Here is a 21,153-nt window from a genome sequence, read left to right as displayed (position 1 = left end):
CCTTAGGCAATCCCTGTCCTGCCGCCCACTTCTCCAAGCCACCTTGCACTGATGCAGCCATATCAATCTACTTGCAGGTGCATCTGCGTGCTATGCTTGCTCTCTCCTCTATGGTTGTACATTTGCTGACACCTCTACCTTTCCCACCTTTCTTTCTTTGCCTGGCTAACTCTTGCCCTTTCTCAAAGGCTTGGGTTCCAGGTCATCTGCTCCGGGAAAATTTTTGGATTCCACAAAGGAGAGCTGGGTCTTTCTCTGTTATGTTTCTACCAGGGCCAGGACAAAGGTGAGGTAAGTGAGGCATCTTGGGCACAAAATTTAAGGAAACCCTCATTCTCAGGGTGGTACAAGTGCCAACTCTGCAAGTCCCATGACACTGAGAGTACAGGTCTTCTTAAATTTTGCATCCTAGTCACCTAACTTACTTTACCCTATCCTGGCACTGGTTTCAACAACATCTCATATCCCTCTATCGTGATTACACTGTAGAATTTATTCGTTGATCTGTCTCCCTTATGGAAATGTAAACTTTTGTAGCTGAGGAACCACAGGTTATTCATTCCTACAACCTTAGTACCTAGCACTATGCCTGGCACACAGAAAGTGTTTATAAATGATGGTAAAATAGAAGAATAATGGGAAAAGTCAAATGGTATTGGAAACACATGGTATTAGAAACTTATTAAACTATCACGGACAAAATGGCATCTGCTGGAGAGCTAGGAGAGGATCTAGAAACAGAAAAAAATGGATAAAATATAAAGTTCACCATCTGAAATATTTCTAGTAAAAAACCACCTGACCACTAGGGAAGCCTGAAAAAGGTGGCCTGAGTACAAGATCTAAAACATCAGCAAAGATTTGGGTAGGGTGAACCCAGATTGTCCACCAAACCATTAAATCCATGTTTCCTCCAAATAGGGAATCTTCCCTGGGCCCTTTCCATCCTTCTCTATATCCATTTACATGATACGTTCATGCTGACAGTTCAGAAGGAATGGCATGGGCTGGATACTGGTGAACCTCTTTAATATGCCCATCATGATGCTAGGCTGCTCACAAAGATTATAATATTTAATCAGCACAACAGTGCAATGAAGCAAAAGCTCGTGTCCCAGTTCTATGGATGGGAAAAGCCAGAGATGCTGTGTCACTTGTCTGAAGCTACATAAGCTGGAAGATGGATGAAGAAAAACATCCCCAGTGTTTTTAAACAAACAGGGCAATTAAAACAAATGTAATTATCATCCCACAAAAATTCTTACAGACTAGAAATAAAAATATATTCATGAAGCACTTATATTTATTCATGCAAAAATCAGATCACCTACTCTGTGTTCTCCTGTTAGTGGAAAGCCCTAAAAGTTTGTGCAGGAAAACTGTTAGGATGGAGTTGGGGGAGTGAGAGGATAGATACTGAATAATTCATAGATAGCTTTAGAAGAGCAAACATACTCTCTTATAAAATGTTCTTCTGGGGCGAATGTGTGAAAATTGCAGTTACCACGTTTGCCTTAGTGCCAAAAGCCACAAGACCAAAGAACCTCAACAACAATGGCATCTCCTGAAATGTTCCCAGAGAGAAGCACCTCCTGCATGTTGTGCCTGTAAATAACATAAGGTAGGTCTTTGTATGTGGATTAAGGCAGATAATAAGACTATTGTACAGACACTTATCAGGATAGGTAGCTGGCAATTGTTTGGTGCACTTTTTGGGGGGTGGAGGAGACAAACTTTTTAGGATAAGAAGCTAAAATCTCAACTTTGTTTTTGCATTAGTAAACAGAGTCTTGGCCTTCACCTAACAGATTTACTGAGGTATGACTTCAGGCCTCATGGTTGGCCCTTTGATTTATGTGTTTCATGGACAAACTGCTATTGTGTAGGAGCCCTCTGAAAGCTTCAAAAAGGTAATTAAGGGTGAGACATTTCTCAGTTCATTTACAAAGTACTCACTCATTCCCAAAAGCCAGCGTCAGGAGGGCTCAAGTGATTTCAGTCAAACTTCTCCCAACCAAAGCCCCACTTTCTATGACAGAGTTACAAATGCTTTTAGCTCCATTTTGCCTACATTCTAGAGGACTTCTTGGCAGGGTCCATAAAGCGTGTTTTCATATTCTTTGGATTTCATCTTCGTAGCACGGCCTTATGGAAAAACATCACATTCCAAGTGCGACTGGGAAATTTCATTCACCGTAGTGGTTGCCAATAACATGTGGGGAGTTTATGGGCCCTCCAGCAAGCTGATCAGCTCCAAACAAAATGTGTTCACTGCAATTTCAGCTGATTCATTTCCATAAGATGCAAGACGATGCTATTTACTAGATATCTTAAGACCAATTTAAGTCTCTAAACTATGGTGGAATTAAATATACACTAGTTTTTAGCTCAATACTATATCATTAGAGTCTTAACAGGGAACAAAATGGTACACTCAAAAGGGGTTAGCTGAATATAATTTCATAAAGACAGGATCTACAGACACATAAGCAATGTTAAAAGAATCAACAAGGAATGGTTAGACATCCAGGAATCGTCAATAGCAGGAAGGTCTTATTGTCCCAGGCAGAAAAGCCAGAGATAGAACTTGAATGCTGGAGCCTTGGAACAAGCATGGCGTAATAGACCTAGAGTGGTAGAATTGCAGCCACAGCTCGGTGCAAGGCTGGGAGTATACGGAAGAATAAATACCTCAATCTCTTTCTCTGCTTTTACCTTCTGATCACTTGCTGGCACTTCTCTTTGGCGAAGCCCAACCAAAAACCAGAGGGCAGGGAGATTTGTGATACTCACTATACAGGTCAGTCTCCTGGGCATCTGTGGCAGATAGAAGAGAAGGTAAGAGACTTGTCTTGGGGGAAAGGGAGTGGTCTGACAAATGGAAAATAATCAGATGGCCTAAACCGACTGATTTCAGATTTACTCCAAGACACAGAATGGCAGAATGAACATAGGTTTTGACGTCAGAAAGATCTAGATTCAAATTCCACCTCCTAGTGGTGAGAAGCTGGTATCTTTTTGGAGAAAACCTGTTGAACAGCTTCAGGAGAAATCCAACTTACCTCTCTGAGTTTCAGTTTCCTCACCCAGTTAACTAGAAATAATAACGACCTGCCTAATTGAGTTACTGGGAATATTAGATAAGTTAACCAAGGAAAAGAGCCTGACAAAAAAAATTTGACACATGAAATGTGCGTGATATTTGTTGGTTTCCTTCCCCGTTCGCTCTTTCCATCTGGTACTCCTATAGGGTAAGCTGCCTGCCATGTTGAGGTGAAAGAACCAGTCTGACCTTTTTTTTTTATTATTATTATGGGGTTTCTGTGGGGAATCCCCTGTTGACTCACACCTACAGTGATGGGTGGGACTGTCTCATTCATGAAATCTTGTTTACTGTGGTCCCCCTGTCAGGAGAGAACCAACCATTTTGCTGGTGTAACTCCACTGAAGAAAACCTATTGGGACATTTTCAGGAGAACAGTTTTCTCTCTCTGTGGGGACACCGGTTCTGAAGTAGCTGTTCTCTTCATTGTTGTACAAGTCTTCACCATTTCTTTAGCAAGTTTCATTCCTCCTTCATAAGCCGATGCTCAGAAAACTTGCCCTTCCTTCTTGGGTGTATTAGCTGTTGACAAGGTATGTCAGCATATTCCAGGTCTGCTTTTGCAAAAACTTGACCAATTCAGTTCCTGATAGGCCGTGTCCTTTCTACCTGAAGCCACCAGGGAGGTTTTTATTTGTCGTTGTTGTTTGCTAGTTTTGGAACAGGTATGACTTTTGACTGGACCCTTGGAAATGGTACCGGTGATTGAAAAAATAAAAAGCCACATTAGTCATTCATTTAACTACTCTGATTCAAACTAGCACTTATATGCTAGGCGTATTCCTAATTCTCACCACCATCCTGTCTTATTTTAAGTTGAGGAAATTGAGCCTCAGATAGATGGGACAACATGTCTAGGTACTAAGAGGCAGAACTGGGCTAAAGACCATAGGTCTACATGAATCAAAACACAGGATTTTCTTTATTTTTAAGATGGTTAATGAGTAATGAGAGTCAATTGAAAAATTTTCATCCAGCCCTGATCATTTAAAAATAAAAATCACAAGCCTGTGAGTTTTCCTCAATGACAAGGGATAAGTCTTATTCATCTCTCTCTTCCCACTGCTGACCACTGCTCCTGTCATAACATAGGTGACTGATTAATGTTTGTTGAATAAAAAAATGATTGACCAAATGAATCATCGATACAAGATGTATTTGTCTCCACACAGCATTTTTCTAATGCATATTTATATTTTATTTGACAGTGTTTGCAAATTGCATAATATTCCCCTTCAGCACAACTTGTAGAGTGGAAATGCTTCCATATGCTAGATGTTTCCCTTCATTTGACTGAAGGGGAAACAAAGACTAAGAAAAACATCACATAGTGGCTAAGTACCCATATAAACACAAGTTATAGCATGTACTGTTCACAGATGGTATATTTTGAAAGGGAGATTTTGCAGAAGTTATTAAAGTAGACATTAAATTTGGATTAATATGGGTTGGAAAATGTTCTTTCTCAGCTAAATATAGTTTTATATGAATACACTATGTTGTAGGAGGTAGAACAGTGAGGAAGAAGAGCATGGGCTCTGGAGCAGCTTCCTATATTCACATCTAGGCACTTTTACTTCATAGCTATGTGACTTGGGTGACTTACTCAATCCTATCCAGATATTAGTTTAACTCCTATGTAAAATGGAGCTAAGAACACTATTTCCTGCATGAGACGGTTGAGAGAACTAAATAAGTTAACACAGGTATAATAATTAAAATAGTGTCTGGTAAATGGCAAAGCTCAATAAATAGTATCCATAAGCCCAATAGAGTCTAGTTCAGAAAAGCCAGATCTGTTCTATATTCTCCATCCCCATTAAACCTACCTTTTTTCAGGAGCTCATCAAGTCTTTTCTGACTTATTTTACCCTCCAGCTCACCCTTCATATGGTTACTGGAGTGAATTCTTGAAGACTCACATTAAACTAGACCCTCTGTTTTCTTGAAACTCTACTATTGTAGAGCTAACTCTGTCAGCTTGATGGAGAAGTACAATCCTCATAGCATGATGTTCAGGGTCCTTTATGAATGCATTCCCCATTCCTCCTGTGGTCTTGTCTCTCATCATGTCCACATACATGCTATACTACAAGTACCAAGAGATGCCCAAAATAGAAAAGTCATATGGGCTTGTTGAATAAGAAATACTTGAATGACAGGAGTGAGTAGCTAATTTTGCTGTTGAGCTCATAAAGGCTACAGAGAAGAAGGAATATTTAAGTTGTGCCTTAAACAATGGTTGATATTTGTGAAGCAAGGTCAAGTAGAAGGTGACCAAGTGTATCACCTGTATTGAGGGGAAGATTTATACCCTGACACAGAAAACAAGGTGTACTCATGGAATGAGAACCTGTGTAATGCTGACAGGGATGACCTAGAGGGAATGCTTAAATGCTGGAATGAGGAAGAGGCAATAGGATCTTTAAATCTAGCATGAATGTCTGGTTGGATAGTTTTGTTAATGGAGATTAAGGATATACAGGAGAAAGGACCGTGTGTGTTTGTGTGTTTGTGTGTGTGTGTGTGTGTGTGTGAAACAATCGGTGTCTGTTTTGTACACATGCATACAAAAACCACCTGGGAATATTTAGTACTAAGCTTCCAATCTTTTCCCCAATCCCACCCCCAGACCTGCTTCTGTCACACTTCCCCTTCTCAGCAAATGGTTTAAGTGTCCACCATGATTCCTCTCCCGTGCACCCCACATCTGATCCTTCAGAAAATTATGCTGCCATTTTCTTCAAAATAGATTCAGTATCTGATCATTTCTCACTGCTTGAACGGCTACCACACTCATCAGAGCCACCATCATCCTTTGCAGGATTATTGAAATAGCCCCCTAAGCTGCCCCTCTGGTTTCCACCTTGCCCTCCTTCAGCCTGTTCTTAACACAGTGGCCAGGATGGGCCTTTTAAAGAGTAGTCAGATCCTGACTCCTCTGTCCAAAGCCTTCCAAGGCCAGCCCATCTCACTCAGAGTAAAATCCCCAAGTATTCACAGCGCTGGTCTGCGTAACCCACCCCTCCCAACCCTGCAGCCTTGCCCCATTGCCTCTGGGGCTTCCTATTCTCCTGCTCCAGCCTTCTCTGAACCACTCTGCCATCTTGGATTCCTTAGCATTCCTCATGCTCTGCATAGGAGCCTTCCAGCAACTGTCCCCCAGCCCGGAATGGCTTTTCCTCAGGTGCCCACCTCAGCAGCTCCTTCTCCTCCTCCAGGTCTTTGCTGTGACATCACCTCCCCAGTGAGGTCTCCTATGGCCACCTTCCCTAAGAGGTAGGTTCCCTTCTCCCTCTGATCTCCCAATCCCTCCTTTCTGTTTTTTTCCCCTTTAGTACATATCACCATCAATCATACTCTATATTTTACCTTTAAATTTTATCGACTGTTTGTATTTCTCCCACTGTCTTGCATCTATAATATATGTTCCACAAAGTCACTGATTTCTGCATTGTTTTCCACTGTAGTCCTTGTACCTAACAGTGCCTGACCACAAGTTATGATACTTAATAGATATTTGCTGAATGAAAGAATAAATCCAGGTGGGGGTTACAGCAATGTGTTGCTACAAGAATCTGGTATTTGCAGGGCAGACCTGAGTTAAAGATAGATTTGGGATTCTTTAGCAACGAAATGACAGCTGCATGAGAGTAGCTGACATACCAAGAAAAGGATATTTTAGTGAAATTCAAAAAAAATAACCAACATAAAGCCTGAAAAAAAATAATAAAGACTCTGCAGATGAAGCAGCAGAGTTGAGAGCCACAGCCTCAGGGTTATTGACTTGTGTTAAAAATCTTTGCCTCCCCGTTTACTAGCTGTATGACCCTGAGAAAGTGACTGGATCATTCTTGGCTTCCCTGTTCTTAAGGGTAATTAGAAAATAAGATTTCTACTTCACAGGGCTATTAAGAGGATTAACCAATAAACTGCATATAAACCAGTTAGCAGATGGTAAGAAAGAACATACGTTCCTGTTGTTGATACTAATACCATCACATTCTCAAAATCCAGGAAAGAATCCTGAAAAAAAAAAAATGTAATGGAAGCTGAATGAGGAGAGGCTTTCAATAGAGAGAGGCAGTAAACGGTGGCTGTTGGTCTGTGGCCGAGGCACAGTATGCTAGGAGATTCATAAGGCCCCAGGATAGAGCTATTTGTGAGAACAGTTTCACTTGAACCGTAAAAGTCATAAACCCCATATTTTAAAATAAGCTAATGTTTTGTGGAAAATAACAGTAATTGTCCTAGAAAAAAAATCAAATGAAAACAAAACAAAACAAAACAACACTAGGCCCTCAACTGTGTCCAGCTGACACAATGTAGGAACATGGTGACCCAAAAACTTGCTTCTCTCTGGTGTTTAGGAGATTTACTTGCTCACTAGTCAGAACTAGTTTGCTAGTTTATGAGGTTAAGCTATTGTGCAATATTGTTCAGCTGGCTCTGTGGGTGTTTATTTACAGATGGCTGCCATCTTGATTTATTGTCTGTCAAATTATAATTATTAAGGATGGAGTTAATTGTCATTTCAACCACCTGGTAATTACCCACTGTGCTTTCATGTGGTGACAAATCTGTCCTTTATATCAAAACTGGAAGGTTCATAAGATATTTCACTTCCATGTTCATCTCCATTCATGTCTTGTTCAAAGTAAAAGATTAGTAGACATTATTGAAACTTTTAAGTGTAATTTGTGAGCCTTCAGGTAGAAGAATTGCTGATTGTTGTAAATACTTTTTAGTAGTAGGACTGGTATAACAAGAATCCAGTGACGTGAGTTACAATAATTGAAATTAAAATTACGAGTCATGTTCTTTCAAAGAGTGGTCTAATAAAAAATTTAACAATGCCCCTAGTATATTCCATCATGCATCACATAGAATGATGGTTTATTAGCCTCATTATTTGTTTGCACTATTGTTTACCAAAGCCAGTTTGTCCTCATGCCCTCTGAACTTTTAGGACAGAATTCAGCAGAGACAGTACTGTTACCCTAGTCTTTTACGGCGTTCATCACTTCCACCTAAGGCTATGAATGGGATTCTCTGCTTGCTTAATTAGGGAGAATCTGATAGTACCAATGGGAATAAAGAGAGGGAGAAGTTTACGTGCCATAGAAGCTGCCTTCCTCCTCCCATTTTTGGTGTCTAGTCCCTTCTTCATGTACTTTTCCTTTTTCAGCTTTTCTGAATGTGTACATTTTCAGGAGGGGATACATAATTTGTTAAATTAGGCAGCAGAGGGTCAGGTGGTAGCTTCCCTACCAAAGCACTACCCTGGGATGCTCCCATCATCCGATCATCTTTTCTTGTCTCAGGAAACCCATCAAGCAAGCATCATGTGTCAAGGCTTATCTAGCTTTTAGAGGAGGGGCATAAAAGGAAAAAGCTCATGTCTCTGGCTTCTCAATATTTCCATGCAGAATCACCTTGTATTTGACAAGAGCCAAATCAGAGTCTTTGGTGGCCATGAAGTCTCACCTTGGCATCTGCTCTGCAGTGAGACAGCCTGTGCTGATTTCTGCTAACATCCCATCCCAGCCAAAGAGGCAACCATCCAACAGGCCTAGAGAAAATCTGGGAGCAATTTCTGCTTCCCTTCATTTAATGAGATTGTGAATCAGTTCATTGAGGAAGAAAAGCTCAGGGTTAGAAGTGGGTAGCTAGGACCCCTCCCTCCCTCCCTCCCTCCCTCCCTCCCTTCCTTCCTGGCAATCTTAGGCAATAACAGAGGGCTGTTAGCTTCTATAAAGATAACGTGAAAAATCTGATAACATGTCAATAAAATTCTTCTAATGGCAGATTAGGCCATCTCATCATCAATGCATCTCATCATCAATGCCAGATTATAACTGAGATAGATATTTCTGCAAAACTCTTCTCTTAATGCCAATGTGAGGATTATTGTCTTCCTTGGCTCAACATGGAGACTAGGTCCACGAAGGGGAATTTTCTTTCTTGGTTGAAAGTGTACAAGAACTATACTTTATGAAATAAAGCTCTGTATGAAACTTTATTCTACTTCTAGCCTGTTCTATTCAGATATCATCAGGAACTTTTCAAGGCAAAGTTGATAGTTAAGTTCTAGAGTGGTTTGAAAATTGTACTCAGAGTGGGTGACTCTGCGAGGCCATTCCATTCTCTAGGAACCATTAATTACTGTCATGATGATTTATATGAATGCATTCATTATCTTCATATCAGTAAAGTACTGCTCAGTATTTGCTTCAAAGTCTTGTGAGAGAAGTTGCTGTCTTTGTACCTCCTACAGAAAACAGTTGGAAGAGTTTAAATGACAGGTGTGGGGACAATGCTGTGCTGGTCATATTCAGATTCTCCCTTGGTCTTTTGATACTGTATCCTAAAGACGAGCACAAATCCTCTTCTTTATCCTGCTTCTTGTTACGTCAACATGGAAACTCAAAGGGGAAAGGAGTGAACAAAATAGCATATTTAAATTTATCGGTAGAAAATAAAGTTTATCTATCACATTTCCTTTCCTTAAAATCATGGGTCCTAAAAGCTTGAGGAAGCAGCGTTACTAAGCCCGGTAGGAATATCCTAATTACCATCCTGGCCAAAGGGTGTTGGGAAGAATGATGACCTGAGAGTCAGCGGACCTGGGGTCCAGTCTTTGTCTGGTATTGACTACTGGCCAGAGCACCTTGGACAACTCAATTCTTTTCTCTAGTCTCAATTTCCCTCCTTGATTTGATGAGATTATCGTTAGGATTTCTCACAAATCTGAATTCTCCTGGAAGTTGAATGCTGCTGGAGAATGGGTGAATCACTTGGCAAACCTCTAACTCCCGACTGAATGTCTGTCAAGAAGCTTCCTCTTATCACCACTATCAAAACTTACTCTTAGGGCCATACAATTGTTGGCACCCATCAAATTAGTAATTTCATTCCTGGGAGTTTACTGTAAAGAAATATACTCCTTGGGAAGGAGGAAAGAACTACATTTTTAAAAAGTTGCTCATTGTGTAATTCAAAATTTGATGTAAGCTCAATGGCCAACAGTTGGAGAATGGACCAGAACAGTTGATGGGCTGTTTCAGTCATGGGAACTACAAGGAGAAATGTTTCTGATAATACAAGAAAGCAAAAAGCATTTGGTCTGTGGATTGCAAATATGTATGAACAAGATAAATGTAAGAGGAGCAGACATCTTTGGTATACCTTCTATGGGTTGGGCACTGTGGTAGGCATTTGATGACATTAATAATCTCACTTACTTTTCAGAACAGCCATGCAGATAGGCGCTATCATTACCAATTTACAGCTTAGGAACCCATGGCTGAGTTAAAGTCACTTGCCAGATCACTACCACTGTTAATGGGCTAGTGCTCAACATTCACATGCATGTACAGTTGATCTTTGTTGTTCTAGTAGTTCTTTGTTGTTATAGTTGTTATGATCTATAAAGTCTCAGTCTCTTTGAACACTGAATTAGTAAATACTGAACAATTGCCCTTAGGGAAAATACAGGTTTGTGTTCCTGAAAGTCTCTGTTCACAACATTTTCATCAACCAGTCAATATATTAATATAACCTTGTTTTCTGTGTGCTTCTGTTTAAGGACACCGTGTTTTAGTGTATATTGTCGATTCATTAACGTTGAACTCATGGCCAATAGCACTATAAGCTCAAGCCTGAATGAAATTTATCTAACACAAGTATTTTCTCCGTAAGGCACATCACAACCTTCTTGCACTTAGGAACGCTAGATAGCACTTCAGTACTATGCTTGGCGGTCATTTTAAACAGTGACATCACCAACAAAAAATGGGAAAAGCATGGCACCAAACAGACTGTGAAGAGGACACATGTTTACATCATGAAAGCTGAAACCAGAAGACAGTGTCTTATTCAACCTCAGCTGAGAACAGGTGTTTTGGGCAACTCAAATTTTTCACTGCTCTGCACATGTTTATGAATAACTTTGAAATTGCCATATTGATTTTAGGGTTACAAATAAATTTAGCAAGTAAACAAATTCACAGACGCAGAATCCAAGAATAATGAGAACCGACTGTATATTCAATCATTGGGCAAATATTAATTGTGTGCCTACTATGTGCCGGACACTGTTCTAGTCACTGGGGATTCAGCAGTGAACAAAACAAAGCCTCTGTGCTCCTGGACCTAACATTCTGGGGAAAGGGTAAATGCAGGTAGTAAAGTACATCATGGTCAAGATGGTGATAATCTATGGAGACAGATCACACTGGGAGTGGAGTAGGGAGGGATTAGTGGAGTGTTCTGTGAACACTCAAGGAAATCAGTTCATATGGACATGTGTGGAAGGAGCAATTTGGGAAGTAGGGACACGCAGTGTAGATGCTGAGCAAGAAGCCAGGATGGCTGCAGTTGGGGGTGGCAGAGAGGAGATGAGATAAAGACTGGGTTGGCAAATGATGTAGGATTCTCTGACTTCAGAACCTGGGCTCTTGAAAGGAACATGGGATGAAGATGCAGTATGAGCACTGGGGTGCATTCTAAGTTGTCATAAGGTTGGCAAACGAAAAAGACTGTGAGCTTTTGCTCTTGAGAAAGGTTCCAGTAAGATCCAAAGAAAGAATCTTCGCAAAGGGGTGGAGGCTTCGCCAAGGCCCCCAGACCTCTACTTCATCTGAAGCTTCAGGGTGGGTCACCTGAGGATGCCTCTTTTAGGGAAGTGACTTCAAATCAGCTTGGGATTGGAGGAGACTCTCTGGGAGATAATCTGGCCCAGAGCTGCAATACTGAGGACAATTTCATCAGCATTGACAGTGCATCTGAGGAGAGGCTGGTCACAGCAAACAAACCATCACCCAGGACAACAGGAGTGAAGGCAGAGAGCAAGTCTGCACAGTAAGATTAGCTTGTACAAAAACACTGCTCAACCAACTCAGCTCTGCTCACTGCACTCATCAGAATATGAATGCCACAGCCCATGTTGGAGTCAGTTGCAAAACTCATCTGCAGTTAGACATCCTAAGACTCAACCCATACCACTGACTGATATGGAAACTGAGGCCCAGCAAGGGAAACTAATGAACATCCCATCAAACACCAAGGGAGGGGCTGAACCAGGATGGAAACTTAGCTCTGGCCAAACCATCATTCTAGACAGTTATTCCTAGAGTTAAAAAAAAGAAGAAATTTCACAGAATTCCCAGGTTTGCAGAAAAGCCACTGATTGAGCTGCTGTGTTTGTGTCCATGCAAGCAACTGCAGCCACCTCTACAATTCAGTTTAGTGACTTTATTTATTTATTTATTTAGGCAACCTGGCCATTCAACATCTGCCTCTTGGAGGGCCCTGTGGAAAACTGTGTGGCCATAATGTGAGCCACTCCCAAGAGAAAGGTTCTTAGTCAGCAAAGGTGGTCACGCTAGTTGGAAGAGTCAAAAGGAATTAAACTCCTGTCCCATGATCTTTAGATCTAACAGAGGCACTGGTTCCCTCTTTCAAAGCTTTTTGTAGGAAGGCCTGTCATTTGTGAGGCTCTCTGGCTTCAGGCTTCTGCCTATCTTCTGCGAGGCACTGAATCCCAAAAGAAGTGGAAAGTGGTTGGTCGGGGACAGTGGTGTGCTGGTAGACCCGCTCTCTGGGGGATGGTAAAGGAAAGCCTTGGTTTCCTGCATTTGCCCGATATCTGTGGTGCAAATACTTTCCCCATGGTGGCTTTCAAGCTACCAAGGATTCACAACCGGCTCACAGAATTCCTGAAAATTTAACAATCCACTCTCATGCGCCTGCTGCAGCCATTTCCAGCCCACCTCTGTAGCTCTCTAAACAGCAGGGCCTCATGGATGAGACTAGAGAGGGGAGATGTAGCTGGCTCTGTTTAATTCTGTGAGGTCAAACCACACCTGGGAGGGTGTGTCTGGTTTCAAAGCCTACATTGTAAGAGGAACATAGGCACACTGAAAATTGTTTGATTTGGGCAAGAAGCAATTTCGTCTGAAAAGCCCACCGGGAGACCTATTGCTGGAATGAGAATCCAGGGGAAGAAAAACACAGGGTATCCTGGCCATTGTTTCCAAATCTCTGTGGGGCTGTAAGGTACTTTTCCTGAGGCGTGGAATCTGAACAAATGGGTTGGGGAGGCGTCTAGAACCGGGATGCTGATTTCAGCTCAACCTAGGACTTTTCCGATAAAGCCACCCAGAGAAAGGCAGAGCTGCCTGGCACCATGAGGAATGCCATCACTAAAAGAATAGCATAAAGAACATAGGGCACCCACTAGGTGGGGCTGTGACCGTGGGGACTCCAGGGGCCCCTTCTAGTTCCTGGGGTCTGATCCTGCAATGGACTCTTCTTCCTTTTCCTAGGTAGCCAGTTTTATCTTCTCACTTTCCACTCCCCTTTTCTCTTTCTCCTCTTTCCTGGGCTCTTTTTCTTAGCTGCCTTTAGCCTCTTTACTGGGTTGATCTTCCTTCTGGGACATTGACCTCTAGAGCTTCCTGCACAGAGCGGACTCAGCCCCTTCTCTTTCTCAGGACCCACTTACACCCCCGGGGGAGAGAGCAGGGGCCCTCCTTGTCTTATTTTTCCTTGCTTTCTCTTCTCTCTTCCAACATTCTCAGCTCCACATTTGTGATTGAAGAAGGGCAAATAAACAAATTGAAACTGAAACTGAGCATTGGCCATAAAGTGAGGACATCTGGGAGGCTTGTAAGGAAATTTACATGCTTGCCTGGTTTCAGGTTGCATATTTTGTGTTGCCTGGTAACAAGCCCAGCGTTCCCTTTCATGCTTTATTCTCCTCCTATCCCCTGTTTATAGTGTAATTACCACTGTGACATCATAATCCCTCATTGAACAGCTGTCAGGGGGGCCCAACTGCTGAGTAAACAGGGCTTTATAATCTCTCCTCCCATGGGCTGGTTTACTAAATAGATCAATATTTGGTTTGTAGGCACAGAGATTAGGAGGTGGAAATGTCTTTTGAAAAAGCCCAATCTCTTCCCAGGGCCCTGAGTGCACCTGAGAATGCTGAAAAGAAAAGCCAAGTTCACGGACAAAAAAAGAATCACCCAAGCTGCTTTCACCTGCCTGCGATTTCCCAGGAAGCCAGTTTGTCTTTAAGAAGTGAGACCCATTTGAGAATGAGTAATGTCTTAGGCTCTTTAGTCTAATGCTTAGAGAATTCCACTTTCTTCTTTCGCTCGGCCTCCCCCTGAGCTCCCCTTTCTCTGTCCCCAACTCCATTTTATTTAATCTTTCTAAATGGATATTGTAGCCTCAGGGACTAAAAGAATGACACATGGATAAACAGGAACTAAGCTCCTAAGCTTTTCCCCTACCTGCCATCTTCCTCACCACGCATGAGGATTAGAAGCATCACAAAGAAAGCAGTCTCGGAAGTTTGTCAAATAGAGATTTCTGGGTGATGGTTTGGGAAAGGATGATTTAGATCGTGCCTCTCCTGGGTCGGGAAAGTGACTGAAACACATAACAGCAGAGAACTTGAAGTGCTGGTTTGAGCTTCAGGAGATGTGAGTTCTAGCCCCAGTGCTGCCTGTGATTTTCTCTGTGACCTGGGACAAGTCCCTTGTGGATACGACAGGATATGCGGGCTACAGGGATCTCTGAGGCTTCTCCCAGGTAGGCAAAGTGGAGTGTCAGACTAAGCTGGGCTCAAAAGTTTGTCCTGACACTAGTTAACAGCAAAGTCTTCAAATCACAGGCAACTCTTAAGAGTTGCACTTGCTTCGCTGTAAAAAACGGGAGAATTAATGAATCACTGTGAAGACTAAATGAGATAATGGATGGGGCACACCTCACTGGGTGTGTGATACTTGGTAGGTGTCTTTTTAAAGCATAATTCCTATAAAAACCAAAACTATGGTTTAAAAAAAGGCTTGGAGGTAAAAATTAGAAGGAAAGGAAAGTAAAAGAATAATAACAATCAACACCAGTGTAAGCCATTCACAAGACACAAAGTCCCTTTCACGTATATGATCTTAGGTAATCTGGGCAACAACCTTGAAGAAGAGAAAAGCACCACATTTATTGATCTCTTTGAGTGGGCCATTCACTGTCCTAGTTTTTCACAATCATCTTGGTGGGTAATTTTCCTATTTTGAAGGCCAGGGTCCAAGATTACCCAACTGGTGAGTGTTGGAGCCAGCTCGGGTGATTTTGGTTTGAAACCTCTAAATCCCATGACACAGAAGTGGCAGGATCAATGTGGAAAGCAAGGCAGCAAAATGATGAGGTACTAAAAACTAATGACCTAGATGAAGGAAAGAAATATTTACACAACATCATATGCTTCTTTCACAGTTGTCATGCAACATCATAGTACTTTGCTGATTCAGTCATTTCACAGAGTAATTAGCGTCTGTCTCTGAAAAATAAAATACTGCAATTGGCTGCCGTCTCTAGGACTTTGTGACTTCCTTTGGACAGGTGGTTGCAAAAAGCCTACACCTTTAAAAGTGCCCCCTGAAAGTTAATGAATCACTGTGAAGACTAAATGAGATAATGGATGTGACACAACTCTCTGGGTACCCAGAATGGAGGAGATGGTAGGCCATGGCAGATGGTAGGGGAGAAGCTGGCTTCAGACAATCTACAGAAACCCAGTTTCCTGATTTTTCTGTGCAAGGAATAGCACAGGCATCTGATAATTCCACTATTCTCTCTGGCTGGTGGCCTTCTCTTTGAAAGACTGCATGGTTTCAGTTCAGTTTCATATAGATCTGTGTGTAGATCTGTACAGTGATAACATTCCTTTGTGCTAAGTCAGTCCAAGATAACTAACCTGTTTCCAAGATCTAATTTTGTATGTGGGAATCTTGCCTTGCCCTGATTTCCAGACCCATAGGCAGGCTTGCAGGCTGTAGCTGGGGAAGACCCCACGCTTATTCTGGTGCCCTGAGCAAGACCTCCTGCTCCACTATTAGGCAGAAGCACCTGTTCTGCCACAGGAGGTGCTGTCTTTTGCTGGCAGAGCTCAGTTTCCCTTAAGGGGAAGTTCCTTAGGATTTAAGGCCTCATGACTATCTCAAAACCCATGTTTGTTTGCCAATAAAGAAAATAAATAAACTGTACTAAGGGCTCCTTCCTATATCAGCCTCTGAATTATATGCTATTTTTCTTTAAAGCTACAGCCCTCTGGGGACTACCCATAAATTAGTAGTTCTCAAACTGTAGTGTGCATCAGAACCACCTGGAGGGTGGTGTGTTAGAACACAGGTTTCTCTGCATCCTGAGAGTTTCCTAAGTTCCAGAACTTAGTAGTTCTGGAGTGGAGCCTGAGAATGTGCATTTCTGACCAGTTCCCAGGTAATGCTAATGTGGCTGCTCAGGTGACCACACTTAGAGAAACACTTGCCTAAACCATCCACCGCAACTTGAGTTTGCAGAGCTGCTGGTGGCTTTCTTTTGGAACTTTCCACATTTTTTTTGTATGTGGTTGGCCATTAGTTTGTTCCCTTTTTCCACCACAGAGTTTTAGGTTCTTTTTCACCACAGAGTTGCTTCTCTTCACAAGCAAGAATGCAAATGAAGCTGCTTTATCTGGTATTATTTTCCACACCCTCTTGTAGCCTATATAATTTCAGTTTGTAGTTTGGAAAAATCCCTAATGTGTTTTCCCCCTCACACCTCTGTATCTTTGGACTTGCTGTTTGCTCTCTGGGCTGGAAGGCCTCCCTGGCTTTGCCTGGTGAATTCTGAATTGGATGTCAGAATGGAACTCATGCCATGGCCCCAGTAGAGTCATCCCTGAACAGCCTACCCAAGCAGAGATCATTTTCTTCTCTTTCTCTAACCTTATAGCTGCTAGTCCAATCTTTCATTCTAGCCCTTATCCATTTGCAGGCTTCCCCTGCCCACTAGACAAGGAGATACTGAAAGGCAGAGACCAGGAACGACTCAACTTGAGGCTCCCTAAGTATCAAGCATAGTGGATCTTAACCCGGGCTACACCTTAGAATCACCTGTGGAACTTGCCAAAAAGTTCCAACACTTAGGTCTTTCTCCACATCAATTAAATCAGAATCTCCGGGGAACAGAGCTGCAATTAGGGCCTCCATTCTCCAGGTTTCCTAAGTAGAATGGACAATGATTTTAACATTCTGCAGCTCCATTCCGACTGTGTGCCTGTTCTGTGTGTTCTGTGACACAGAATAGACTTTATGGGTCCCATTTTGTAAGTGAAGAAAATGCTCTGAGAGCAGATCATTGATTGAGTCAGCAAATCATTGGTTCATTGGTTTCTTAATTCACTCCCTATTCATTCATTCATTTGACAAGTATTTTTGTAGTATCCACTGTGTGTCTGGACACATAGTAAACAATAACAGACATTGCCCCTGCTCTCATAGAGGTTTCAGCCTAGTGAGTGAGGTAGACTGTGATCAATCACCCAAATAAATGTCAAGTCACACTCCAAATAAATGCCATGAAGGAGGAAGTTTTACTCAGGGGAGAGAACCACAACAGCTTTTGGAGTTTTTAACAGGGGAGGGGTTGACCAAGTCCTGGAGGCCAAGGATGTTTTCCCTGGTCAAGGTCTGTTGACTAGAGCATGGCAGGACGAGACATTCACTGGGCCAAGAGGGAAAGGCAGAGTGTCTCAGGCAGAGGGAGCTATGGAAACCAGCAGAGTCCAGGGTCCTTCAGCCAGGTGTACCCCATGGTTCCCATCCTCAGCCTTTCTCTTCACCATTGTCTTGGGGCAGCAAGCAGGGCTTTAGAGAAGTGTAATCATTGTGCAGGATAGTGTGAGTGTACACACAGGTGTGCATGCATGTACATATACACAAGCACACACATGCATAAACACATATAACATACATACATATACCCACATGCCCACACCACTCCTTTGCTCAGATCAGAGCTAGGCTGTCTGCCTGGAGCTATGCCGAAATGTTGATGCCCAAGGACTCCTTTCTCGAGGAATTAGAACAAGTTTTAAACCACATTATCTCACTGACTATGCAGAGTCCTCTGACAAATGGTGTCTTTTCATCCCAGCAGCCTGGGGGAGGTATAGACAGCCAGCAGACAGGATCTGAGGGTCATGCTGCCCAGAAACATGGGGTACACCCTCACCCAATCTTGATTAAGCTCTTCCTTTTTGCTGTTGGAATAGATCAGAGGAAGGATTGGGATGCCCTGTCACTCGGCTCCAGGCCTTTTAGTTGTTCATGTCATATCAATTTTTCTTTTTTCAAAACGCTTATTTTTAAATGCTAGGAGAAACCCTTTTGTCCTAGATAATAGAACTTGGCTTTTAAGATTGCCGCCAATAAAAGCCTATGGATATCCAAAAGGAAAACTTCATGCTAGTCAAGCTAAAAGACAATCTCCTAGGCTTTCTATGTGTGATACTGTATTAGTCCGTTTTCACACTGCTGATAAAGACATAACCGAGACTGGGAAGAAAAAGAGGTTTAATTGAACTTACAGTTCCATATGGCCATGGAGGTCTCAGAATCCTGGCGGGAGGTGAAAGGCACTTCTTACATGGTAGTGGCAAGAGAAAATGAGGAAGATGCAAAAGCAGAAACCTCTGATAAAACCATCAGATCTCATGAGGCTGATTGTCTACCACAAGAACAGTATAGGGGAAATAGCCACCACAATTCAAATTATCTCCCACCAGGTCCCTCCCACAACACATGGGAATTCTGGGAGTACAAGATGAGATTTGGGTGGGGACACAGCCAAACCATATCATTCTACCCATGACCCTTCCAAATCTCATGTCCTCACATTTCAAAACCAATCATGCCTTCCCAGCAGTCCCCAAAAGTCTTAATTCAGTGTTAACTCAAAAGTCCACAGTCCAGAGTCTCATCTGAGACAACGCAAGTCCCTTCCACCTATGAGCCTGCAAAATCAAAAGCAAGCTAGTTTCTTCCTAGATTCAATGGGGTACAGGTATTAGGTAGATACAGCCATTCCAAATGGGAGAAACTGGCCAAAACAAAGGGGTTACAGGGGCTTCTTCTTCCTCAAGTGAACTGGAGGCAGTTGGAGCACTCAGCAATTTCATTAACATTTTAAATACACAAATGGCAGATATACTCACTCAATTGTCTTCTGATGTAAACTGGTGTGAGAGCAAGTCCCTGGGAAAGCTGGTTACAGTTGGGAATGTTCTTGACCCCTGGGGATGGCCAAATGGATAGGTGGAGGCCATTAGGGAAAGCACAGAGTAGTCACCCAGGAGAGAGGAATAAACTATTTCCTGAAGAAGAAAGAAGAGCTCAGAATTGCAGTGGGTCACAAGCTGTGTATGAGACATAGTGGGGTGGTTTCTCCATTGCTGGAAAATCTAATTTTCATAGAGTTGATTTTGGTCATAGGAGTTATTTATTGGGATTCTTTGACTCAGGAAATATGAAATTTAGACAGGACCTAGGGATGGGCTGATAAAAATAGTTTAATGGTCCTAAAAGGGATAATGTAAGGAAGAGACATGGGAACTGAATAGAGTTTAAATTAGAATTGGCACAGAAGGAGGCCATATACTCAGTGATATTGTAAAAGGAGAATGTATGAGAGGCCAGGGGTTTTCTCAAGCAGGACAAAGTGAGCAGAACAACCAGGACAACATCCCTTGCTTCCCCTCCTTTCTCTGCCAGCCATAACTTAGAAACTTCTTCCCACTTAAAAGTATTGCTCTGCTTCCTAGCTTTTGCCTCTGATGGATGAGATAATGAAAGCCTTCTTTGGTGGACGTTTCTCTTTTGGACGGGATAAACAATACTTCTCATGAGTAGTCTTTCCCCTTGGATTCTATACACTCAGCAAGGCCAGTTATGGTGCTCCAGGTAGCTGGGAGGTGGCAGGCTCAACTCACATCAGGTGTGGGTCCCAAGATCTAGAATTTAGGAAAAAGGGGTAGAAGTTCATGTAGGTCTCCAATGTCACTTTTCCTAATGCCATTTTTCCATTGATAATACTGTTATTCAGTCTCCTGTTTGACGCCAGTGGCCCCTTCCTAATGGATTCAGAACTCAAATGGGAGAGGGTGTGATTAATTGATCCCCTAAGTAATCTCAACCAACCTGTACAGGCAGAACTGTAGTTTAGTTTTGAAGAAATATTTTATGATTGTGAGATACAGATAGAAATGGATCATGCAGAAGATGAAATCTTCTTTTGAGAATAACAAAATGAAATAACGAAAACAGGAATGAACGTTGAAATAATATTTTAAATGTTGGACTGAGGGTAGGCTCTCCCAAGTTCCCTTAAGTTTCTGTTGTTTGACAGATAATTAAACCCAAAGAAAGATCCAATGGAGAAATCTGTGTATGTGTCTTGCTCCCAGGAAGGCTATGGATGGGGGCTTTACTCACGTGATCATGGAGATTTGAATGGCCATGCAGGACTAGGTTGGAAAAACTCTCAAAGATAAAGCATTATGGAGAAATATGGCCAACTATGACATAGGAACTAAAAATTCTTTTTAAATAAAGCAATATGGAGGAACTTTCACAGGCTGTGAAGGTACAGGGCTCTGAAACCCGATTATGCTGCCTGATGGTGAAGGAAAAGCAAGAAGCCTGTGGCTGGGCAGAACAAGGGAGGGAAGACCACTAGTAGATGGAATCAGTGAGCTACCTCAAGTAAGACCTTGTAGGCTGTGGGAAGACTTGGGAAGCAACAAAATCAATTCACTTAATTACCATTTCTTACATAAGCCTATTACTAGCTACAAGATTGTTCAACAGACATTTACAATGCAATTACTTTCGCAGATCTAATATAAAATACATTTTAAGCATGATTCATTGGGCTGGGTTACCCCATTCTCAATTTAATCAAAACAGATATTCCAAATCTCTGGCTGCTATAGGCTTTACAGCCACTTATAGGGAGGGTGTCTGTCATCTGAAGCATAGGAAAGTTGTCTTTTTTTTTTTTTTGAGATTGAGTCTTGCTCTGTCACTCAGGCTGGAGTGCAGTGGTACGATCTTGGCTCCCTGCAACCTTCACTTCCCGGGTTAAAGAGATCCTCCTGCTTCGGTCTCCTGAGTAGCTGGGACTACAGGCGTGCACCACCACACCAGGGTAATTTTTGT

The 21,153-nt window shown here is 42.2% G+C and overlaps 2 long non-coding RNA genes across 5 annotated transcripts in view, besides 1 other annotated feature; both read left to right on the top strand.

The window, feature by feature from the left end:
- LOC105376214 (uncharacterized) overlaps positions 1-21,153 on the top strand; it is a 401,533-nt gene that overhangs the window by 158,707 nt on the left and 221,673 nt on the right. The gene's annotated exons all lie outside the window — the stretch shown is intronic.
- Positions 2,296-3,495: an enhancer, noted in NCBI's record as "BRD4-independent group 4 enhancer chr9:111044856-111046055 (GRCh37/hg19 assembly coordinates)". NCBI's record gives its function as "activates an origin of replication core promoter dependent on BRD2, P300/CBP, MED14 and CDK7 cofactors, and independent of BRD4, by STARR-seq in HCT116 cells {active_cell/tissue: HCT116}" and the evidence as "EXISTENCE:reporter gene assay evidence [ECO:0000049][PMID:35650434]".
- Positions 3,339-21,153, top strand: part of LOC105376212 (uncharacterized) — a 37,257-nt gene continuing 19,442 nt past the window's right edge. The window contains exons 1-2 of one of the 2 annotated variants that reach the window (XR_001746880.2): positions 3,339-13,162; positions 14,073-14,707. This is a non-coding gene — a long non-coding RNA (uncharacterized LOC105376212). Of the gene's footprint in view, positions 14,708-21,153 lie in introns of both variants that reach the window. The other variant, XR_930235.3, reaches the window with a different exon arrangement.

This window comes from Homo sapiens, chromosome 9 (genome assembly GCF_000001405.40).
Source record: "Homo sapiens chromosome 9, GRCh38.p14 Primary Assembly".
Taxonomy (NCBI): domain Eukaryota; kingdom Metazoa; phylum Chordata; class Mammalia; order Primates; family Hominidae; genus Homo; species Homo sapiens.
This window is presented reverse-complemented; position numbering and strand designations above follow the sequence as displayed.